The following is a 24,232-nucleotide window of genomic DNA, read 5'->3' as shown; positions in this document are numbered from 1 at the left end:
TCCTCCCACCTTAACCTCCCAAGTAGATGGGACTACAGGCAGGTGCCACCATGTTCAGCTAATTTTTTGTATTTTTTGTAGAGACGGGGGTCTCACTATGTTGCCCAGGATGGTCTTGAACTCCTGAGCTCAAGCAATCCTCCTGCCCCAGCCTCCCAAAGTGCTGGGATTATAGGTGTGAGCCACCTCGTCTGGCCCTGTTTTTTTTCTGTTTTGAGGCCTTGCACAAGTCACGCTGCCACTCTGAGCCTCAGTTTCCCCATTTGTAACACTGAGACAATAATTCCTCAACCCCAAGTAGCCCGATGCATGGCACACACTATAGAGATGAAAGAGGGATTTCCTTCCTGTATAGCAATAGCTGATAATTATTTGATGTTATACTCAATTAGCCCTAAAACTGTTATCTCCCAAAAGGATTTCTGAAGGGAGAAAACGATCATGCTTGTTGCCTTCATTCAAGTCTGAGTGCTGTTTATACAATAAACTGGATACTTCTGGATGCAACATAAAACGTTCCTAAAATAATCCCACCTTTCATTCCTCAACCTGCCAGACAGCTGAACCACAGCTTTATGAAATATGAAGAGAGCCCACTTTTATGGCCAGGCATTCATCTTCAAGCTCCTTGGCATACGAGTCCCTCCGAGTTATTTTATTATTTCCAAGAAACTGTAACTGAGCCTTTTTATATACCTGCTGTTGTCGTAAGAGTGCTCACACATAAAGCATGTCAACCGAATCGGAGAAAGGCATCCTTCATCTGGTTTACTGTTTCCTTGAGACAGCTGGTCTCTGGGCTTGGTCGGCTGACAGCTTTGATAGGATTATTGAGCACAGCTTTTCATGCAAAAGAAACCTGGAGACCGGGGCAGTCTGCCCTTGGTTGGTCCATCCAGGGGGCTGGGGTTGACAGGAGGCTCCTCTCAGCAGACGAGGGTCCGGTGAGCCTGACCCAGAGCCCCCGCAGCTGCTCCTGGGTGCAGCCAACGTGCTGGGCTTGGAGTAAATGCTTAACTACAGAGACAGCAGCGAGGGTCTCAGGCACCCTTCCCTCTGTGTCTCCATCCTTCCTGTGGTTCCAGCCCAGCCTCGACTCCCTGTTGGGGCCAGCCATCTTGCCCCTTCTCCACCAAAGGACCAGGTAAGATGTGTCTGCATGAGCTACAAGTCAGGGTACAAGTCTGTGCCCTGTGGTAACTTAATTATATAATTATTCAAAACTGATTTGTTCTCTCTCGCTCGCTCTCTCTTTTTTTTTTTTCCACAGACAGGTTCTCCCTCTGTCACCCAGGCTGGAGTGCAGTGGCGCCATCTTGGCTCACTGCAACCTCTGCCTCCCGGGTTAGGTGATTCTCCTGCCTCAACCTCCTGAGTAACTGGGATTACAGACACGCGCCACCACACCCAGCTAATTTTTTCTTTTGTAGAGACAGGGCTCCACTATGTTGCCCAAGCTGGTCTCAAACTCCTGGGCTCAAGCAATCCTCCTGCCTCCCAAAGTGCTGGGATAACAGGCATGAGCCACAGCACCTGGCCTTGTTCTCTTTAAATTGTGCTTTAAACATATGGGATAGTAAAGTCCCTTTAAGAAGACGTGGAAATAAGAGCTTCTGTTACAACAATAAAATCAAATTTTAAAAACCCCCTCATTGGAACATAAGAGGATACATTCTTTAAAATTATTTACTCAACATTCATTTTCTCTGTACTTGCTAGTTTTAAATATGTTTATCTGACAAGACAGATCTGAAATGAGGCAGATCTAGCTCCAACTCGCCTCCCTGGGCCTCAGTTTCGCAGTCTTTAAGATGGGGACAGAAAAAAATGCTTCAGAAAAAAAAAAAAAGGATCAAATGAGACGGTGGCGGTGAACATGCTTTGTAAATTAGCCCGAGGCCTTGGTGGCTCACGCCTGTAATCTTAGCACTTTGGGAGGCCGAGGCGGGCGGATCACTTCAGGTTAGGAGGTCCAGACCAGCCTCACCAACATGGTGAAACCCCGTCTATACTAAAAATTCAAAAATTAGCTGGGCGTGATGGCGCATGCCTGTAATCCCAGCTACTTGGGAGGCTGAGGCAGGAGAATCGCTTGAACCCGGGAGGCGGAGGTTGTAGTGAACTGAGATCGCGCCACTGCACTCCAACTTGGGGGACAAGAGCGAAACTCCGTCTCAAAATAAATAAATAAATAAATAAATAAATAAATAAATAAATAAATAAATAAAATCAATTAGCCTGAGGCGAGCTGTTGTTGCCATCATTATTCCTTCTTTGCATTAGAAAGACGTTCACCCTCCTCCCGCAGGCCCTGAGGCTTGCAGATAAACAGTAAATGTTTGCGGACTGTAATCCCTGCAGAAGCGCTCCTCCCGAGAGCCAGCTCAGCCTGGCAACCCTGAAGAAATCACTTATCAAATCGAGGAGCGCCAGCCTTCCCTCAAGGCACCCCCTACTACCTAAAGGGAAGTCTCTAAATACCCCTAAAAAAAAATCTCAAAAATAATTTTAGTCTCATTAATTCTGGAAACAAACAAATGCAGAGGAAAGACGACGACCCGAATTAAAGGACAAGGGAAAAGGGGACGCGAGGTCCCTGGGGGGCGGGGGCGCGGCGACCCCACACTTGGCCACACGTACCTGGACCTGCAGAGGGACGGAAGCACGGGGCGGGGCCTTGACGAGGTAGGGCCTGAGGTGGGCGGAGTCTGGACGGGGCCACTGGATGGGGCGTGGCCCGCAGTTGGGGGCGTGGCGGGTCGTGGTCCACGGGCCGGGGACAGGACTCGAGAGGCTGGAGAGGGGCGGGGCCAGAGAAATAAAAGGAGGGGGGCGGGACGGAGAGGGGGCGTGACGTTGCCGCCTCTCGGGCATTGCGGGTGCAGGGAAGCGGGAATCCCGGCCGCGTGGCCCTGCAGGTGACGTGCGTGGTGAAGAGGACCCCAGGCTGGGGCGACGGAGCAGTGAAGACAGCTTTCCCCTCTCTAGGGTTGAAGGTACTTGAGCACCACAGGCTTGAGGGAGCCTCTGCCTCGCAAAATAGGGGGACCCCAAGAGGAGGAGGAGAAGAGACACCCCCAGAGTATTAGGAAATTCCTGGCTCCTCATTAGCACCCTGAAGTCTTTCCAAAGAGAGACCTGCACACCCTCTTAGGAAGTGAAACCCCTCCCCTAAACTGCCTTGGCCCCTGAGCTCATATTTCAGTAGTCACAGTGTGGCCCTAGGAGCTATCGCCTTCCCTGTCTCCCCTCCCCTCCCTCAACTCTGCAGGCAGGCAGCTGTGAGCACTGGTGCTGGAGGAGCTAGAGGAGATAGTCAGGACCCCTGCCTCAATACCCTGGATCTAATGTGGAGGGGGTAAAAGAAATCTTTATAGGCCGGGCACAGTGGCTCATGCCTGTAATCCCAGCATTTTGGGAGGCTGAAGTGGGCAGATCACCTGAGATCGAGAGTTCGAGACCAGCCTGGCCAACATGGTGAAACGCTGTCTCTACTAAAAATATAAAACTTAGTTGGGCATGGTGGCGCGTGCCTGTAGTCCCAGCCACTCTCGGGGCTGAAGCAGGAGAATCACTTGAATCCAGGAGGCGGAGGTTGCAGTGATCGAGATTGTGCCACTGCACTCCAGCCTGGGTGACAGAGCGAGACTCGGTCTCAAAAAAAATGAAAAGAAAAAAAGAAACCTTTATAGGGTGGTATGATGGGGTCACTTTCCAGCAAGTTCTCAGAACCTTTCTTTCCAAGTTGGTTATGCCCTTTTTTGTTTGTTTGTTTGTCTGAAACCTGAAGTTTGCAAAATCCTTGAAGGATCTACATTGCAAACCTAGGTTTATGTTTTAAGCCTGTGGTTCCCCAAAGTAAGGTGCAGGGAATGTGTTCTGTGGACATGTTCACATCCACAGGGCCCAGGGCTTCTTTGCTTTTTGGTTACTTTTCTTAAGAGAAGGACCAGGAGTGGGCAGGTGGGCATCCACTATGTTATTTTCTATTAGCAGACATGATGCATGCCAGGTCCAAATGGAAAGTTGCATCCACCGCTTCTGCCCTCTGCTTTGAGAATAGGAGAGTTCCACGAGGAAGCAGTTCCTTCTGCCTGGGTTCCAGAATCAGACACATGGAGCTGGCCCACAGCCACAGGCTCACACCATGAGGGAAAATAAATGTTTGTTGTGGCAAGCCACTGAAATGTGTGTGATGTTTGTTATTGCAGCAAATCTGACTCATACAATCTGCAAACTAAAAACAAACAGCAGGAAGGGGCATGGGTGTTGAAAAATGTCTGAGCAAATGTATTCTATGTACTTTGGGTAAACAGAAGATTTCTTGCAGAAAGGGTTTGGAATGGGGGTGAGAGGAAGCCTTCTCCACTCCTTTGTTAATGTAGAGATCACCTCATTGTTTGAAGACCCTGTTTTCTGGTCTCTTGAGAGGTTCTGAGGAGGCCATATATGTACGAAGCTGGCACACACCAAGCCTTCAGGACAGATTAACTCCCTTTCTTCCCTCCACCTCATTCCAGACTCCACTGTGGCCAGCTGGGCATGAGGTAAGCAGTGCCGACACAGAGCAGGTGAGGCTCCTGGCTGAACCCTCCAGAGCCCAGCATCTTGAGAGATGGGTCCAAAAGCATCCACAGAGGCTGGGCCAAGGCCACCCCAGGAATGACCCCATTAGTGTGCCCTGAATTTGAAATAACCAATTCCTCAGAATACCCACCCCGTAAGATCCCACCGTGCTTAATGTGGACCAAGAACCCAGCTCTGCCCTTGTTTTAGTCCATTTTCACACTGCTATAAAGAACTACCTGAGGCCGGGCACAGTGGCTCACACCTGTAATCCCAGCACTTTGGGAGGCTGAGGCAGGCAAATCACCTGAGGTCAGGAGTTCAAGACTAGCCTGGCCAATATGGTGAAACCCCAGCTCTACTAAAAATACAAAAATTAGCTGGGCGTGGTGGCATGTGCCTGTAATCCCAGCTACTCAGGAAGCTGAGGCAGGAGAACGCTTGAACCCAGGAGGCAGAAGTTGCAGTGAGCCGAGATGGCACCACTGCCCTCCAGCCTGGGTGACAGAGGGAGACTATGTTAAAAAAAAAAAAAAAAAAAAGAAAAGAAAAGAAAAACTACCTGAGACTGGGTAATTTATAAAGGAAAGAGTTTTAATTGACTCACAGTTCTGCATGGCTGGGAGGCCTCAGGAAACTTAAAATCATGATGGAAGGCAAAAGAGAAGCAAGTACCTTCTTCACAAGGCAGCAGAGAGAAAGAGCGCGCAGGGGAAACTGCCACTTTTAAGCCATCAGATCTTGGGGGAGCTCCCTCAGTATTATGAGAACAGCATGAAGGAAACCTCCCCCATGATCCAGTCACCTCCTACCAGGTCCCTCCCTCACCACGTGGGGATTATAATCCAATGAGATTTGGGTGGGGACACAGAGCCAAACCATATGAGTCCTCCAGCAACTTCCCCAAAATAGGGTCATAGCGGACATCCCACAGGCAGTCCAGGAAAGAGAACAGACTCATAGAAGGGGTTGGACTCAAAATCCCCCCAAGTGGGTTCAGCTTTGGAATACAAAATAAGAAAGCCCCTATGTTTCAAATGCCCCTTTCTCAATATCAGGATCAGAGTGTGGGGTTTCAGGTGCACATACATGTAACATGGACTCCTGTCCCCTTAAGATGTGTGCTTCCCTTTTGTGCTGCTCAACCAGGGACAACATCTCCCAACCTCCCCTGCAGGTGGGCGTGGCCACATAGGGTCATATGACTGAGTTCCAACCAGTGGAATGAGAGGACCTGGTCCATGCAAACCTCCCCGTCCATCCTCCCATCTCTGACACATTATCAGGTGGGTAGTGATGCCCATGGTGCCCTTGGAGCCAGCTGGTGACATTGGCAGAGACTCAGGAGCCCGAACCAAACACCTGCACCCCACCTCTAATTCGAGAAAGAAAAATACTTCTACTTCTATTGTGTTTGGCCAGAGAGCCTGTGAGGTTTATCTGTTACAGCAACTAATGTTACTTTAACTAACTCACCTCTCAATGTCCTTAGCCCAGGGCTAGGCTTTCTGGTCCTGCCCTCAAGGGGCTCCCAGTCTAGTGTCAACAGCAGTTGGCCATTCAGTGACAACAGTGAAGCACTTAAGAAGGCGAATTCGGCCTCTTTCAGGACAACAAAGAGTTATCAGGGCAGTGGGAGGGGATTGGGGTGAGGGACAAGAAGAAGAGCATGGGCCAGGTGCGGTGGCTCAGCCTGTAATCCCAGCACTTTGGGAGGCCGAGACGGGCAGATCACCTGAGGTCAGGAGTTTGAGACCAGCCTGGCCAACATGGTGAAACCCCGACTCCACTAAAAACACAAAAGTTAGCCAGGTGCAGTGGCAGGCATCTGTAATCCCAGCTACTTGGGAGGCTGAGGCAGAAGAATCACTTGAACCAGGGAGGTCAAGGTTGCAGTGAGGTGGGATCATGCCACTGCACTCCAGCCTGGGTGACAGAGCAAGACTCTGAAAAAAGAAGGAAAGGAAAGGGAAAGGGAAAGGGGAGGAAAGAAGGAAAGAAAAGAAGGAAAGAAGGAAAGAAGGAAGGAGCATGCCAGATGGAGGGAACAGCATATGCCAAGGGTTTCCCCCCAGAACGTGTCCCCCTAAAATGCCTGTAATCCCAACAGTTTGGGAGGCCGAGGCAGGTGGATCACCTGAGGTCAGGGGTTTGAGACCAGCCTGGCCAACGTGGTGAAACCCTGTCTCTACCAAAAATACAAAAATTAGCCATGTGCGGTGGCTCGTGCCTATAATCCCAGCTACTTGGGAGGCTGAGGCAGGAGAATCACTTGAACCTGGGAGGCGGAAGTTGCAGTGAGCCGAGATCGTGCCACTCCACTCCAGCCTGGGTAACAGAGTGAGACTCTGTCTCAAAAAATAAAATAAATAAAATAGCTGCGTCCAGCCCGCAGAAGGAACCAACCCTGCTGACACCTTGATCTTGGACTTTTGGTCTCCTGAACTTTGAGAGAATAAATTTCTATTGTTGAAGCCACCCAGCCCGAGGTCCTTCGTTACAGCAGCCCTGGTAAATGAATTCACCAAGTAAGTTACGGAGGTTGAAGCTGCATGCAGGTTGGGGGTGTGGGGTGGTGGGAGGGACTGCAGACAATCTGTAGCAAAGTAGGAGGTGGGAGTGAGAGCAGATGAGGTAGGGAGGAGGGGAGTTCAGTGCCATGTTCAGGAGTTTGAGGTTTGTCTTTGGTTAATGGGGAGGCAGAGAGGTCTTCGAGCCAGGAGGGAAGGTGATTGGTTTGAGCTTTATAAAAACCCACCTGGACCAGGTGCAGTGGCTCACACCTGTAATCCCAACACTTCGGGAAGCCAAGACAGGAGTATCTCTTGGGCCCAGGAATTCAAGACCAGTCTGGGCAACACAGTGAGGCCCTATCTCTACAAAAATGTTTTAAAAATTAGCCGACCGGGCGCAGTGGCTCACACCTGTAATCCCAGCAGTTTGGGAGGCCGAGGCAGGTGGATCACAAGGTCAAGAGATTGTGATCCTCCTGGCCAACATGGTGAAACCCATCGCTATTAAAAACACAAAAATTAGCTGGGCGTGGTGGCACGTGCCTGTAATTCCAGCTACTCAGGAGGCTGAGGCAGGAGAATGAATTGCTTGAACCAGGGAGTTGGAGGTTGCAGTGAGCCCAGCTCGTGCCACTGCACTCCAGCCTGGTGACAGAGCAAGACTCCGTTTAAAAAAAAAAAAAAATTAGCCAGGTGTGGTGGTGCACCTGTAGTCCCAACTACTCAGGAGGATGAGGATTGCTCGAGCCAGAGAAGTTGAGGGTACACTGAGCTGTGATCGCACCACTGCACTCCAGCCTGGGCAACAGAGCAAGACCCTGTATCAAAAAAAAAAAAGAGAGAGAGAAAGAGAGAAAAGAGAAGAAACCCAACCAGGCTTCAGAGTGAAGGAAGCTGCTATGGCCATCTAGGCAAGAGAGAGTTCTAGGGCAAAGGGATGGAGAGAAGAGGGCAGTTCTGGGGTATTTAGGCAGTGGCATTAACAGGATTCCACAGCAGTCAGTGGAGGCTGAAGGTGATACCCACCCACGCTTCTGTTGCTCACTGTGATCCATCAGAGAGAACCCAGCACGGGCCGGCTGCTCCCCCAGCCTAGCCCGAGCAAGGCGACCATTTCCTTGGGAACCCGCTACTGTCTGAGCCCAGCCCTCCCCAGCAAACTCAGAAATCTAATTTTCATTCATTCCGGTGATATTTATTGAGCGCTGGCTGTGCACCAGACATTGATTTTCTGGGCACAGTGAAATGGTTCCATCTCTCTTGGAGGTGACCTGGCATGAACCAGGTTCAAAGAAATGGATGAATAAAACCACAATGCCAATTTAGTGACTTGCCCTGAGAGACACAGTTATCAGGCATACAAGGTGACAGACCAGTACCCTCTGTTCCTCAGGCAAGCTCCCAAGAGAGCCAGATTAATATTGTCTGGCTGCTTCGGATGGACAGACCTCCTTGCAAACTGGCTTTAATTTCTTGTCCAATAAGCAGGTCTCCTAGAGAAAGACACCAATGCCCGCCCCTGCCCACATTTGCCTGTTTAACCCAGAATCAGAACAAGGAGAGGGAGGTAAACTTGGGCAGGGGCTCTGGGCTAGGGCAGCCTGAGGCTTTCTCTCCCACATGAAGGACCAGCCCTGGCAAGAAAACCTCGATACCTTAGCCAAGATGCCTCTTGCCTGACCCCAGCTGAATGGCTGTCTGCCCACAGCTGTCTCCAGGCCCTGTGCTCACCAGCCTGCCTCCCTGTGCTCACCAGCCTCTGCCTCCCTATGCTTGGGCTCTTTGCAGAGTATGATTCAATTGGCCAGATTTCCATGAACCGAAATTACAAACCCAGGCCAGGCTGCCTTCCGGCAACTGCCCCCAGATCCCAGAGCACAGGCATTCTGGATTTTTCTAAATCCTCCAGCCTCCTACTCACAGACCCTGAATCCCACTGAAAGCAAATCCCAGTCAGGGCAGAGAGCTGGCTTTTCTGGGCACCCTCATTTCCAGAGACAGATTCTGGGTAAAGCTAATGATACCCCAATGTCAGGACCCTTCGCTTGCTTGGGCCCCTGCAAGAGTTGGGAGATGCTGGGAGCCATAGAGTGTTCTGGGTGGAGAGAGAAATCAGGATGGAGTCTGCAAACATCTCTAGTAAGTTACCTAAACGGGTGGCAGAAGAAAGGGACCTGAATATACAGGGTGCCTATACTTTGTAGTGATTTCTTTTCTCATTTTAAATAAACATTCACTTTCGTACCTAAGCTTATATTGTATTTACATATTCTTTCCCTCAACGGGAATCCCCTGAAGTGTCTAAGCTTCAGGCCTCACAAAGCCTGGATCCACTCTTGCGGGTTTCCCTGGAGTTCTCATCCCAGCTCTTCTCCCACAAGGAAAAACAGCCACCGCCCCTCCAACCCTCCCCAAGGAGACGCTGCTGTCAGGAGCATCCACGTGGCTGGTGCAATGATGTTTTTCCTTCATTTCATTGAAGGGAGAGACTTTCATCTTTTCATAACACTTGTCTTCATGTTCCTTTCCAGGGACATTTTTCAAGCTTTAAATTTTTTTTTTAAACTTTGAACATTGCTTTCAAAGTTGAATCACGAATTTTGGTGCCTCCCCCTCAAAATCAGAGTACTGTATTTTTGCAAACGACGGAAACATCAGCTGTCTTCCCTCAGTCATCTGTCTGTCTGACTGACACATTTTAGGGACAGACGGTCTCAGTGCTTAATTTATGCCTTTGGATATTTGAACGAGCTTCATGCAATCATTTCGATTTGGGAGTTGCTGTATAGCCGTCTGCACATCTCTTGTTAGTCTGGTCTCTGGTTTGCTGTCTCTTCAGCCATGGAGATTTTTGCACCCCCTCCACCTGCCCCCTCCCCAACCCAGTGCTTTGTTTTGTGTCTGTTGGTTCCCTCCCCACCCCACTCCCGTGTCAGCTGGACTCCACATGGGACTGCTTCAGGTGCCAAATTCTCCATTCAGGATAAAGCCTGTTACATATGGACATATGCAGGAGGTGTTACAGCCAGGGTGCCGTTGCCATGTGAACAGGTGGCAGGGCTCTGGACTCTGCAAGCTTCCCCTCCAGGAGCCTACATCCATCACCCCCTGACAAGGTCTGCTTCTTCCCGTTCCCCATCCCCACCCCAGCCAGAGTCCCTGACCCTTCGTCTCCTGCAGCATCTAAAAATTCACTTTGTACCCCTCCCTTTGCAAGAGTTGCCACTCTGTGAACAGCAATAACAGGAACAAATGCATGATTCATAGGACGCTCTTGGCCTGGGAGTGGGTGCCGAGGGAGGGGACCATGAGGCCCACGGAAGCACTTTGGTTCAGGGAACATTCATTCATTGATGCACATCTGTGCTGCCTGGAAGTGCATTAAAGAGAATCAGATGTGCTGCTACTTCTGAAACAGCTTTTGAATGTGCAAAGTGCTCGGGGAGGACAGGGAATGGCAATGGGGCTGACGAGGAGCTGGGCTGCTAGGGCTTCATTCCAGCTCTGTCCTTGAAGCACAAAGCCTTGAGCACCCTGTAGCGGCCCTCCTGAGTGCCTGGGGAGGAGATGAGCCTGTCTCAGCAAAAGCAGGGCCACTGAGACCTCCAAGGGCCAGCACTCCACTCTGTCACCAAACAAAGAGAAGATTCTTTCAGCTCTATGGCCATTTTAGAGACAGGAACAGCCGGGCCCAGTGGCTCATGCTTGTAATCCCAGGGCTTTGAGAGGCTGAGGTGGTAGGATTACTTGAGCCCAGGAGTTCGAGACCAGCCTGGGCAACAAAGTGAGACTATCTCTACAAAAAATTTAAAAACTAGCCAGACATAGTTGTGTGCAACAGTGGTCCTAGCCACTTGGAGGCTGAGGCAGGAAGATCTCCTGAGCCTAGGAGTTGAAGTCTGCAGTGAGCTACAATTGTGCCACTCTACTCTAGGCTGGGCGACTTAGTGAGACCCCATCTTTTAAATAAATTAATAATAACAATAACAATAATAAAAGAAACAGGAACAGCTCTGTCATCCTGGTCTAACAAGGATGTCCCCCGCAGCCTTCACCAGGCTCCCAAGTGTGGACAAAACAACCAAGTGGCCCCACAGCCTGACTCAGTCTCAGCTCCATCACTCACCATCCAGGGTACCACAGGCAAGTCACCAAGTCTAAGAATCAGCAAAGGTGCATCCTTCCGACTCAAAAACTCTCAGCTGGCCTCCCACCAACTTCTGATCTGCTTGTCTCTGTGCAAATCAAGGAAGTACTGCGGCGTATTCAGAGGGACCACCTGTCTGGAAGACCAGACTTCCCGAACTGCAACACGAGGAATACAGAATCAAGAAGGCGCGCAAAGGCCAGGGCTTGGGCCCCGAGGCACATGCATCAGTCATGACCTCTAGTGACAACTGACTGAAATCCCAACCCAACTAGGCCCTGAAAAAAGAGGGAACTTGTGAATGCCCACAGGTGAGAGGTGGCTTTAGGCATAGCTGTATCCAGGCACAGAAACACAGTCAAGACTCCCTGCTTCTGCAATCCTGGACTTTGTTTTCCTTCTGTTGGCCTTATTCTTAGGCAGGCCAGCTCCCTGCAGTACTGCCTTCTCAGCCCAGCCTTGCCATCCTGTTACAGGCAAGGGCCCAGATCCAGACCCCAAGAGGAGAGGGTTCTTAGATCTCGCATGAGAAAGAGTTCCGGGTGAGTCTGTAAAGTGAAAACAAGTTTATTAAGAAAACAAAAAAATAAAAGATGGCTGGGGGCAGTGGCTCACAACTGTAATCCCAACACTTTTGGAGGCCAAGGTGGGGTGATCACTTGAGGCCAGGAGTTCAAGACCACCCTGACGAACACAGGGAAAACCCGTCTCTACTGAAAATATAAAAATTAGCCAGGAATGGTGGTGTGCACCTATAATCCCAGGTATTCACGAGGCTGAGGCACAAGCCTCACTTGAACCTGGGAAGCAGAGGTTGCAGTGAGCCGAAATCGCGCCACTGCACTCCAGCCTCGGCAACAGAGTGAGATTCTGTCTCAAAACAAAAAAGCAAACAAACAAAACACTGGAAGTCTTGTGCGCTGCTAGTGGGAGTGCAAAATGGTGCAGCTGCTGTGGAAAACAGCATGGCGCTTCCTCAGTAAATTAAAGCAGAATTGCCATATGATCCAGCAATTCCACTTCTGGGTATATAACCAAAAGAATGCAAGCAGGGTCTCAAAGAGATATTTGTATACCACATGTGTTTCGGCATTATTTACAATAGCCAAAAGGTAGAAGCATTCACGTGTTCATTGATGAATGAATGAATGAATGAATGAATGAATGAATGAAATGTGGTCTCATCCATACAATGGAAGATGATTTGGCCTTAAAAAGGAAGGAAGCTGGACATGGTGGCACTCACCTGTAATCCCAGCTACTCAGGAGGCTGAGGCAGGAGGACCCCTACAGCCCAGGGATTCAAGGCTTTAGTGAGCTATGACTGTACCACTGCACTCCAACCGGCACAACAGAGCAAGACCTCATCTCTAAGACAAACAAAAAAAAAAAGGAAGGAAGGAAGGACATCCTGATACATGCTACGATATGGATGAACCTTGAAGACATTATGCTAAATAAAATAGGTCAATCGCACACAAAGAAATACTGTATAATTCTATTTGTTTATCTATTCGTTTATTTATTTTGAGACAGTCTCGCTCTGTTGCCCACGCTGGAGTGCAGGCGCGTGATCTCAGCTCACTGCAACCTCAGCCTCCTGGGTTACAGAGATTCTCCTGCCTCAGTCTCCTGAGTAGCTGCGATTACAGGTCCACGCCACCATGCCCGGCTAATTTTTGTATTTTTAGTTGAGATGGGGTTTCGCCATGTTGGTCAGGCTGGTCTCAAACACATGACCTCAGGTGATCCACCCACCTCGGCCTCCCAAAGTGCTGGGATTACAGGCATGAGCCACTGCGACCAGCCTGTATAGTTCAATTTATATGAGGTATCTAGAGCAGTCAGACTCATAGAGACAGAAAGTTGAATGGTAGTTGCCAGGGGCTGGGGGAGGAGGAATGGGGAGTTGTTGTTTAATGGGGACAAAGTTTCAGTGTGGCCAGATGACAAAGCTCTGGAGATGGGTGGTGGTGATGGTTGCACAACAATGTGAATATGTTTAACGCGACTGAACTGTACACTTAAAAGTGGAGCTGGTCAGGTGCAGTGGCTCCCACCTGTAATCCCAGCATTTTGGGAGGCCAAGGCAGGAGGATCGCTTAAGGACAATTCAAGACCAGCCTAGACAACATAGCAAGACTCCATCTCTACATATCATTTAAAAATTAGTGAGGCATGGTGCCACGTGCCTGTAGTCCCACCTACTCAGGAGGCTGAGGTGGGAGAATCGCTTGAGCTCAGGAATTGGAGGCTTCAGTGAGCTATGATTGCACCACTGCACTCCAGCCTGGGCAACAGAGTGAGACCCTGCCTTAAAATAAATAAATAAATATAATAAATAAATAAATAAAATATTTATTATTTTTATTTATTATATTTTTTATGGTGCAGATGATAAACTTCCTGTTATGTGTCTTTTACTACAGTTTTAAAGAAAAGACTAGAAGATGGGGTAAAGGGAGAAACCAGGGAATTTCTCCTGCTCTCTCTTCCTCTGGGTAAAGCCTCTGGTGGTGGCTCCTCCACAGTCACAGCCCCTGCTGCACAGTCCCTCCCTCCGTGGTCCCAGCTCCCTATGGTCAGCCCCTGCCACGGCTCCGCCCCCAACCCCATGGCCCAGATCCTTGGCTCCAGGAAATCCACATCCCCCTGGGTCTTACCAACCCTAGGGGTGGTTGCAGCTCTCTGCGTTGCTAATCTCTGGCTTGCCTCATTTTACCCTTTCTGTTTCTTAACTCCCTACTATACCTGGGTAACCAACAAGTTCACTCTGAAATACCCAGAGTGGTTTCTCTTTTCCTGACTGGGCCTTGTGTGTTACACACCTTCATGAATGGCTCTCGGGCAGAAGCCCAACTCAGCCCAGTGCCCAGTGTGGACAAAGGGGTCCCCGGTAGCCCTGACTGGCTGGGGAACACGGTGCGGGGCCCAGCAGAAGCCTCAATACTTGGCTACCTCTGATGCAGTCTGCTTAACTCAGAACCAAGCTGCTGTCCTCGCTCAAACCCGAAGCAGCCAGCCAGGCCTCTCAGCTTCCCTGGCAGGTGCGGACACACATAGCGGGCACTCCACAGGTGCAGAGGAGAAAACAAAGAGAATTCACAAGCACCCTTCGAATGGTGTGGTTCTGTCAGTAGTTACAGCGTTTCGTTATTTATACCTGCCAGGGGTAGCTGTTCACCGAGCCTGGGCTGAGCCCTCATCCCCGGTTTTGCCCTAGGCTGGTCTTGGGAACTCCCTGGGAGGTTGTCTCACGACTCTTTAAATTCTCCTACTTTTCCTCAGATTGCCTGAAGATCTGCAGTACGGAGCTCATCTCCCTCCTGCCTCCGGAACCCCCCAAGCTGTCTCCCATCGGGGACAGCCTTTCGCCAAAGCCTGGAAAGAGAAAATAAAATAAAACTTGCTTGCTCCCCAGGTGGGCCGAGGCCTGGCCTGATTCCCGAGGCTTTGGACTGATAGGCAGATAGCACCCAGAGCCGCCAGCCACCACAGCACAGCCCAAATGCAGAGACAGAGAGGCAAAGGCGAGGAGGGGGCCCCCTGGAGATTACCAACGCCAGCTCCCAGCCCATACAGGAGGAGCCAAGCTCAGAGAGGGAAGGCGGTGGCCCAAGGTCACACAGCCTGTTGGATAGTCGGGGCAGGATGGTATTGGGGACTGACAGTTTTGCTTTCACCGGGCTGTGCAGTGAATCTGTCATTGTCCTCCCTCACTTCAGGGGACCCCTACATTTGACCCAGGATCCTCTCCTGGCTGCCCTGTCCTGGGGTGTCCAGCCCTGCTCCCTGGACCCCCTTCGACATCCCCAGGCTGACTTTGGTGGGCTGCATTCCCTTTCGTATCAGCCAGCTTATGAGTCGCAAGCAACAGAGTTGGATTGTTAATTAGACAGAAGGGAACTGATGGGCAGGGTACTAGAGAGTCCACACATTTGAATTTGGGAAAGGCATGGCTGCCCCGAGACAACATGGTCCACGTGACCACCACCACCGGAAGGAGTGCCCAGGAAGAGCAGACGTCTCTGATTGGCTGAGCTCAGGTCACATGCTCAGGCTGCAAGACATGCTGGGAATGGAAGACCTCGTGTTTTCAGTTCCTAGAGTGGGAGGTGTCCCCACTGCTCACCAAGATGCTTAAGGAGGGGCTTTGGGAATGCCTAGGACAGGGCTTCAGATGTCAGACTGCAAAAACAGATGATCTGTGTCCTCCAAGCTTGGGATTCAAAATCCAGGCTGCCTCCTCATATACACTGGGTCCCACCCCTCATTCATTCTGCACCCCCAACCTTGTGAGCCCACAGCTCAGAAATTCAGGGGTATCTCCACCATCGCCCTGCACCAGCGCCTTCTTGGGAAGAAGATGGCTATCACTGATGTCCTTCTCTGAGTCCCCAGCTCAGCATCTGTGCTGCAGAGGGGCAGCTGGCCCCAAGGTGGCTCTGATCATTCCAGGAGCAGGAGTCCCCTATGGTGTTTAGTAGGGGCAGAGCCAGGAAAATAAGCCAGCCTTAGGCTGGGTGCGGTGGCTCACGCCTGTAATCCCAGCACTTTGGGAGGCCGAGGCAGGTGGATTACTTGAGGTCAGGAGCTCGAGATCAGCCTGGCTCACATGCTGAAACCCCATCTCTACTAAAAATATAAAAATTAGTCAAGCATGGTGGCGGGCATCTGTAATCCCAGCTACTCGGGAGGCTGAGGCAGAAGAATCCCTTGAACTCCAGAAGTGGAGGTTGCAGTGAGCTGAGATCGCGCCGCTGCACACCAGCCTGGGTGACAGAGTGAAACTCCGTCTCCAAAAAAAAAAAAAAATCCTGCTGCTACTGGGGCTGAGTCCTCTAGAACCCAAAGGCCACAGATCCAAACTCAGCAGGTGTCTGAACCTTGCTGGTCCCCGTCCATGGTCATTACTGTCTGCCAGGTGGATCTCAGGACTCACCCTTGACATCTTGGGCCAGAGTGTCTCCCTGTTTACCCAGGTGGTGTGGAAGAGATGATGTGGACCCAGGAAGAGGAGCCGTCCTGGGGATAAAGCTTTCATCACAGAAAGCAAAGCAGAGATAGGAAGAAACCCTCATGACACTGGACTCACTAAATGAAACCCATGCTGGCACCCACTCTGCCTCTGGCCTTTCAGTCACATAAGCCAGGAAATCTCCTCTAATGTCTGAGCCAGAGTGAATGCAAACAGCTGAACATATTTTGATGAATGTGGCTGTGTCTTTGCGGTTCCTATCAAATGTCATTCCCATGCACCGCCATGCTCCCTGGGGAGGTATCGGGCCAATGGTCATAGGCGAACAGCTGTTCCACCCCCTTGGGCTTCTTTCTTAGAAACTCATCATATCCCAATGGACATTCAAAACGTTATCTTTTTACAAATCTATATCGAGCTTCTCTGGGTGTCCTTTGGAATTTACACAGTAGGATGTCCTGGAGAAATGGCCACTAGGCCTTTATTCCCTTGTATAACCTGAATATATTTGGCTGTTCTCATGGACCAGTCCTTGCAATGTATACTCATGTAAATCTTTCATATCGGCTTCGTCAAAAGGTAGGCCCAGGGGCTTTAGACAAATCTTTTCATGGAAATTTTCTGAAAATCCTCACCGGACATCTCTTTCTCTCTCCAAATTTCCCACTACTGGCATCTACTAAAATAGGTCTATAGCTTATTCACGCAGCACCCTGGCTACCATTTATTTCTCCCTCCTCCTCCCTGAGCCCCTCAATCCATCCTGGATTTCTGAATTTCTGCCCTGTGACTCTCCTTCTAATATGTCCTCCTTCCATTGTTCTTATTCTTGAGAATTAGCTCTTTCTTAAAGAATAGTAAATCAGGATCTCACGCATGCTCTCAATCCATGCACACCACCTCACACATTCAAACACACACTCACACATATACACATACTTACAAATGCACACATTCAAAGCTCACATACACATATATTTATATATCCTACGCATTCACTCATGCACTTACACAGACTCACACAAATGTACACACACATATACACAATGCACATTCAAACATATGTGTGCCCATTATGTGTACATATTCAAACATACATGTATCCATTATATGCATGAATTCAAACATACACGTACCCATTATATGCACACATTCAAACATACATGCTATTCATTGCAAGGACTGGTGCATAAGAACAGCCAGATAGATTATGTGTGGTTTGAATGTGTGCATTCCATTATAGCAGCCGCCTTGGACTAAGACACACACTCACAGTTATGTATCCTTACACTCACATAGACACATACACCCTACTCACTCCCAGACACACACACACACACACACACACACACACACACACACACACATTTTCCCTTCCTCTCAGGGGCTTCTAGCAATGCCACCAAACCCCATCAGGCTGGCTTCATATATCACACACTTTCACTCATGCTCTCACACAGACTCACACAAATGCACACACATGTACTCACAACGCATACATTCAAACACATATGTACTCATTATGAGCATATTTTCAAACATACCTGTATCCATTATATGCATTTCCTCCCAGAAGTTGGGGAGTTTGGCATCTCAGTGTGGCCAGCCCCTAGGTGTCAACACTCCTTCTCCAGCCCCTGGGATCTGTGCCCAGTTAAGGAGGAAGATGCTGCATACAGCTGTCCTTTCCCTGGTGGGGGCTGTCAGCCCATGGGGTGTTTCTTGCTTTCAGACCTGAAAAAGGTACAGGGTCATCCCTGCTCCTAGATTTCTGAAAAGTCCCTGAGTGGTCATGAAATCTGTCCCATTCATGGTGAGTCTGTGAAACGCCAGAGGATGGAAGAAGAGGCCATCCAGTGATGCTGCTGCTGATGCCCCTGCTACCCTGGTAGCATACTGGGGACATGGCGACTCCCTCTAGCCCCAACAGGCTCCTGGAGGATGTCTGTCTGCCTCCTCCCACTGGCACTGGCTTGTAGAGGTTGCCTTCAGAGCTTGGATACACCTGCATCATTCCCAGCTCCCCAGGCCTGCCCACTTCATTTTAGTCATTGATCCTGGGGGCTGCTGGAAGGGTTCCCCAGCTGGTGACTCTAACAGTGAGAATTCAGGACCAACTCCATTCTGCAACAAAATCCTGGTTTACTCAGCCATTCTTGCTTCCAAGGGGTTCTAACAAGCACCTGGCCCACCATGTCTGAATGTCCAGACTTAGCTCAACCACTACCAATTGGTGGGCCTCCAGACTTAGCTGAACCACCTCCAATGGGTGGGCCCCCTTCTGTTGAGATGCTCTTTAACAAATGAAGGCCAGCCAGACACTCCTCTGGGCAGTGAGACTGTCCACCTCAGAAATGGAGGCATTGGCCAGACATGGTGGCTCATGCCTGTAATCCCAACACTTTGGGAGGCCCAGGAGGGAGGATCCTCGCTTGAGACCAGGAGTTTGAGAACAGACCGGGCAACAAAGCCATATCCCATCTCTACAAATAATAATAATAAATTAACCAAGCATGGAGGCACACACCTCTAGTCCCGGCTACTCAGGAGTTTGAGGCAGGAGGATCGCTTGAGGTCAGGAGTTCGAGGCTGCTGCAATGAGCTATGATTGTGCCACTGAACTCCAGCCTGGGTGACAGAGTGAGACCCTATTTCTTGAAAAAGAGAGAGAGAAGCTTTGCAGACACTGCCGCCACCAGGAACTCTGTACTATCAGCCATGGTCAACCCCACCGTGTTCTTCGACATTGCTGTTATCGACGAGCCCTTGGGCCGCGTCTCCTTCAAGCTGTTTGCAGACAAGTTTCCAAAGACAACAGAAAACTTTCATGCTCTGAGCACTGGAGAGAAAGGATATGGTTATAAAGGTTCCTGCTTTCACAGCATTATTCCAGGGTTTATGTGTCAGGGCGGTGACTTCACACTCCTTAATGGCACTGGTGGCAAGTCCATCTACAGGGAGAAATTTGATGATGAGAACTTCATTCTAAAGCATACAGGTCCTGGCATCTTGTCCATGGCAAATGCTGGACTCAACACAAATGGTTCCCAGTTCTTCATCTGCACGGCCAAGACTGAGTGGTGGATGGCAGGCATGTGGTCTTTGGCAAGGTGAAAGAAGGCATGAAGATTGTGGAGGCCATGGAGCACTTTCGGTCCAGGAATGGCAAGACCAGCAAGAAGATCACCATTGCTGACTGCGGACAACTCTAATAAGTTTGACTTCTGTTTTATCTTAACCACCGGACCATTCCTTCTGTAGCTCAGGAGAGCACCCTTCCGGCCCATTTGCTCGCAGTATCCTAGAATCTTTGTGGTCTCGCTGCAGTTCCCTTTGGTTCCATGTTCTCCTTGTTCCCTTCCATGCCTAGCTGGATTACGGAGTTAAGTTTATGATTGTGAAATAAAAACTAAATAACAAAAAAAATATAAAGAGAGAGAAATGGAGGTGTTGGCCCCCAGGACAGGAAAACCCCCAATATGGGATCATATGGGAGCTTTTTTTTTTTTTTTTTTTTTGTGACGGAGTCTGACTCTGTTGCCCAGGCTGGAGTGCAGTGGCGCAATCTCGGCTCACTGCAAGCTCCGCCTCCCGGGTTCACGCCATTCTCCTGCCTCAGCCTCCCGAGTAGCTGGGACTACAGGTGCCCGCCACCATGCCTGGCTAATTTTTTGTATTTTTAGTAGAGACAGGGTTTCACCGTGTTAGCCAAGATGGTCTTGATCTCCTGACCTCGTGATCTGCCTGCCTCGGCTTCCCAAAGTGCTGGGATTACAGACATGAGCCACTGCTCCCAGCCCCAATATGGGATCTTACAGACATTCATCTACTAGTGCTTCTCTGTCATGGGCCCACCCATCCACATGAGGACTCAAAGAGACCTCAAGCCCTTCCTCCTGCTCTTGGTACACTATGCCTGGTGCACTTCTCAAGTCCTTGCTAACAGTGGTCTCAAACATTTCCCCCAGCAAACTCACCACAACTGGCACATCCCAAGGAGAGCTCATGGATAGGACCACAGTGTCTGCCACCGGAATCCTTTCTCCATCAAGAAATGACTCCAAGTTCTTAAGAAATGGGACACCTCTTAAGGTAATGCTAAAAATTCCTTTCCAGCCTTTAACTTCATGAAGCTTTTTGACTTCCTTGGTTTAATGAATGTATGGGAAAATCTGGTCCTCCAAATCTGTGCATCCTCCCAAAAATAGTAATTCCGATCACGGCATGCTTTTCACAGTGTCGTCCCTTTGACACAGGTGCTATTTTAAGCCTGATGAATTCCTTCAGTAACATAACATTCAACAGTTAGGTGGTACCTGTGGCACCCACCACCAGGCCTGGCACAAAATAAGCCCTCGAGAGATCATTTCTTGGCTGACAAAATGAAATACGGTGTGGCGTTCTCTTGGCTCTGCAATTACTGCGATGCAATTCTGACGCCAGGCACTTGGAGTTAACATCTGACTCCACAGGTTTAAGAGCATGGTTCCCAGCAACACCGCCCTCATTTCAGAGGCCAGTTCAGGGGTCACCAAGACACATGCACTTCTGACCAACTGGCCACCAATCTGGGAGGGGAAGAGGTTTCATGATCCTCCTCGGGATCAATAATTTACTAAAATGACTCAGAATTCAGGTAAGTTCTATATTTGCAATTACAGTTTTATTATAAAGAGTACAAATCAGGACAAGCTAAACAAAGAGACACATAGGGCAAGGCCTGAGGGTGGTGGGAGGGGGCAGGGTCTCAAATGCATGGTCTCTAGGCCCTCTCCCCATAGAATCTGGCACACCTCTATGTTCATCAACAAGGGTGCTCCCCCAAGCCTCAGTGTCCACAGTTTTTACTAGGGTTTCATCATAGACATTATTAATTGAATAACTGGCCATGTGACTGAACTCAGTCTCCAGCCTCCCACCCTACCCCACCCCACAGACTGGGCTGATATCATCTGGCTCAAAGCCCCAACCCTGTAATCACACGATTGGACTTCCTGGCATGGCCAGCTCCCATCCCAAGTCACCTCATTAACATAAACTCAGGTATGGGCAGTCTGTGTGAATAACACACACTCCTATCACTCAGGAAATTCCAAGAACTTAGACGCTCCCTTTCAGAAACCAGGGAAATTCTTTATTCTAGAACAAAATTTTAATTATACAACAGCTCAGATCTTGGGTGATTATTTTATTTTGTTGAGTTGGGGTCTTGCTCTGTTGCCCAGGCTGGAGTGCAGCTGTGTAATCGTGGCTTACTGCAGCCTTGACCTTCCAGACTCCAGCCATCCTCCCGCCTCAGCCTCCTGCATAGCTGGGACTACAGATGTAAGCCACACGCCCGGACTGGCTAATTTTTTTTTTTTTTTGGTAGAGATGGGGTCTCACTATGTTGCTCAGGCTGGTGTCTAGCTCCTGGGCTCAAACCATCTTTCTGCCTTGGCCTCCCAAAGTGCTGAGATTATACGTGTGAGCCACTGCACCCAGCTTTGGGTGATTACGTTAATAAGTGACTCAACTGAACACAACAGCTGAGTTCCAAAATTCTGATGGTCACTCCCTAAAGGTAATCCAAATTAATCCCATGGGACCCGTTTCCAATGTGGCATCACCTTCAAAGACATATACCCATTAAATAAAAACTACCAAATGATATCTGATGAACGAATGCTTGTGGCTCTCAATTAAGATTACATATTAGGCTGGGTGCGGTGGCCCATGCTGTAATCCCAGCACTTTGGGAGGCCAAGGAGGGAGGATTGCCAGAGCTCAAGAGTTCCAGACCAGCCTGAACAACATGGTGAAACCCCATCTCTACTAAAAATACAAAAATTAGCCAGGCATGGTGGCATGCACCTATAGTCCCACCTACTAGGTAGGCTGAGGTGGGAGGATCACTTGAACCCAAGAAATGGAGGTTGCAGTGATGCCACTGCACTCTGGCCTGGGTGACAGAGCGAGACTCCATCTCAAAAAAAAAAAACGAAATAGGGGCAGGGTGAGGTGGTTCATGCTTGTAGTCCCAGCACTTTGGGAGGCCAAGACAGGAGAATTGCTTGAGGCCAGCAGTTCAACACCAGCCTGGGCAATCATAGAGATAGTGAGACCCCTATCTCTATGAAAAATTTAAAAATTAGCTGGGCATGGTGGTGCACACCTGTAGTCCCAGCTACTTGGGAGGCTGAGGTGGGAGGATTGCTTGAACCCAGGAGGTCAAGGCTGCAGTGAGCTGTGTACTGCTGCACTCCAGCCTGGGTGACAGAACAAGACCCTGTCTCAAAAAAAAAAAAAAAAAAAAAAAAAAGAAAGAAAGAAAGAATGTCTTTTCCAGCAACTTGGATGAAACTGGAGGCCATTATCCTTAGTGAAGTAACTCAGGAACAGAAAACCAAATACTGCATGTACTCACCAATAAGTGGGAGCTAAGCTATGGGTATGCAAAGACATGCAGAGTGGGGACATTGGAGACTCAGAAAGGGGATGATGGTAGTGGGTGACGATGAAAAACTACTTATTGGATACAAAGTACACTACTCAGGTGACAGAGGCTCTAAAATCCTAGGCTTCACCACCATACAATTCTTCCACATCCCAAAACCCACTTGTACCCCTCAAGCTACTGAAATGAAAAAAAACTTAAAAATAAATTTTTGGCTGGGTTCTGTGGCTCACGCCTGTAATCCTAGCACTTTGGGAGGCCAAGGCTGGCAGATCACCTGGGGTCAGGAGTTTGAGACCAGCCTGGCCAACATGGTGAAACCCTGCCTCTACTAAAAATACAAAACTTAGCCAGGCATGGTGGCACATGTCTGTAATTTCAGCTACTGTGGAGGCTGAGACAGGAGAATCGCTTGAACTTGGGAGGCGGAGGTTGCAGTGAGCCAAGATTGTGCCACTGCACTCCCGCCTGGTCAACAGAGTGAGATTCCGTCTCAAAAATAAATAAATAAATTTTGTTTGAGACAGAGTCTTGCTCTGTTTCCTAAATTGAAGGGCAGCAGTGCTATCATGGCTCACTGCAGCCTCAACCTCCTGTGCTCAAGTGATCCTCCCACCTCAGCCTCCTGAATAGCTTGGACTACAGGCTCATGCCATCACATCTGGCTAATTTTTGTAATTTTTCCAGGGATGGGGTCTTATTATGTTGCCTAGGCTGGTCTTGAACTCCAGGCTCAAGTGACCCTGCTGCCTCGGCCTCCCAGGTAGCTGGGACTACAGGCACGCACTACCACACCTGGCTAATTTTTTATTTGTTATAGAGATGGGGTGTCACTATATTGCCCAGGCTGGTCTCAAACTCCTGGCCTCAATCAGTCCTCCCACCTCTGTCTCCCAAAGGGCTGGGATTACAGGCATGAGCCACCATGCCCAGCCACTATTTTTTCTTTTTAAAAAAATTTTTGGCTGGGCATGGTGGCTCACGCCTGTAATCCCAGCCCTTTGGGAGGCCGAGGCAGGTGGATCATCTGAGCTCAGGAGTTCAAGACCAGCCTGGCCAACATTGTAAAACCCCGTCTCTACTAAAAATGCAAAAATTAGCCGGGTGTGGTGGCACGTGCCTATAATCCGAGCTACTCGGGAGGCTGAGGCAGCAGAATCACTTGAACCTAGGGGCAGAGGTTGCAGTGAGCTGAGATCATGTCACTGCACTCCAGCCTGAGGGTCAGAGTGAGACTCTCAAAAAATAAATAAATAAATAAATAAAATAAAATAAAAAAGAAAAGAAAAAATAAATTGACAGAGCCACACCGAGTGTAAGAAACTAATCAGATCTATTCAGCTAGAAAACCAATTTTGCACAACTGTGTCCATTTTCCTCCCAAGGAGTTTTACACCTTGATGCAAATCGGGAGATTGTTGGAAAGTGGAATTTCATGTTAATTTGCATTTCTGACCGTGGAGGGGTAGGTGAAATGTGACTTCTTTTCTATGGCACAGATAAGAGTGGCACTCTGAGAGGCTCAAAAGGAAGCTTCCTCCCCCAAATGCCATCCTCAACATAACCGTGAAACAAAAATGGCGCATCTCAGA

At 49.3% G+C, this 24,232-nt stretch overlaps 1 pseudogene; it reads left to right on the top strand.

Moving 5' to 3' along the window:
* Window positions 18,881-19,624, top strand: PPIAP82 (peptidylprolyl isomerase A pseudogene 82; annotated as a pseudogene).

This window comes from Homo sapiens, chromosome 7 (assembly GCF_000001405.40).
Source record: "Homo sapiens chromosome 7, GRCh38.p14 Primary Assembly".
NCBI classification, from domain to species: domain Eukaryota; kingdom Metazoa; phylum Chordata; class Mammalia; order Primates; family Hominidae; genus Homo; species Homo sapiens.
Note: the sequence above shows the minus strand (reverse complement) of the source record. Positions and strands in the feature narration are given on the sequence as shown.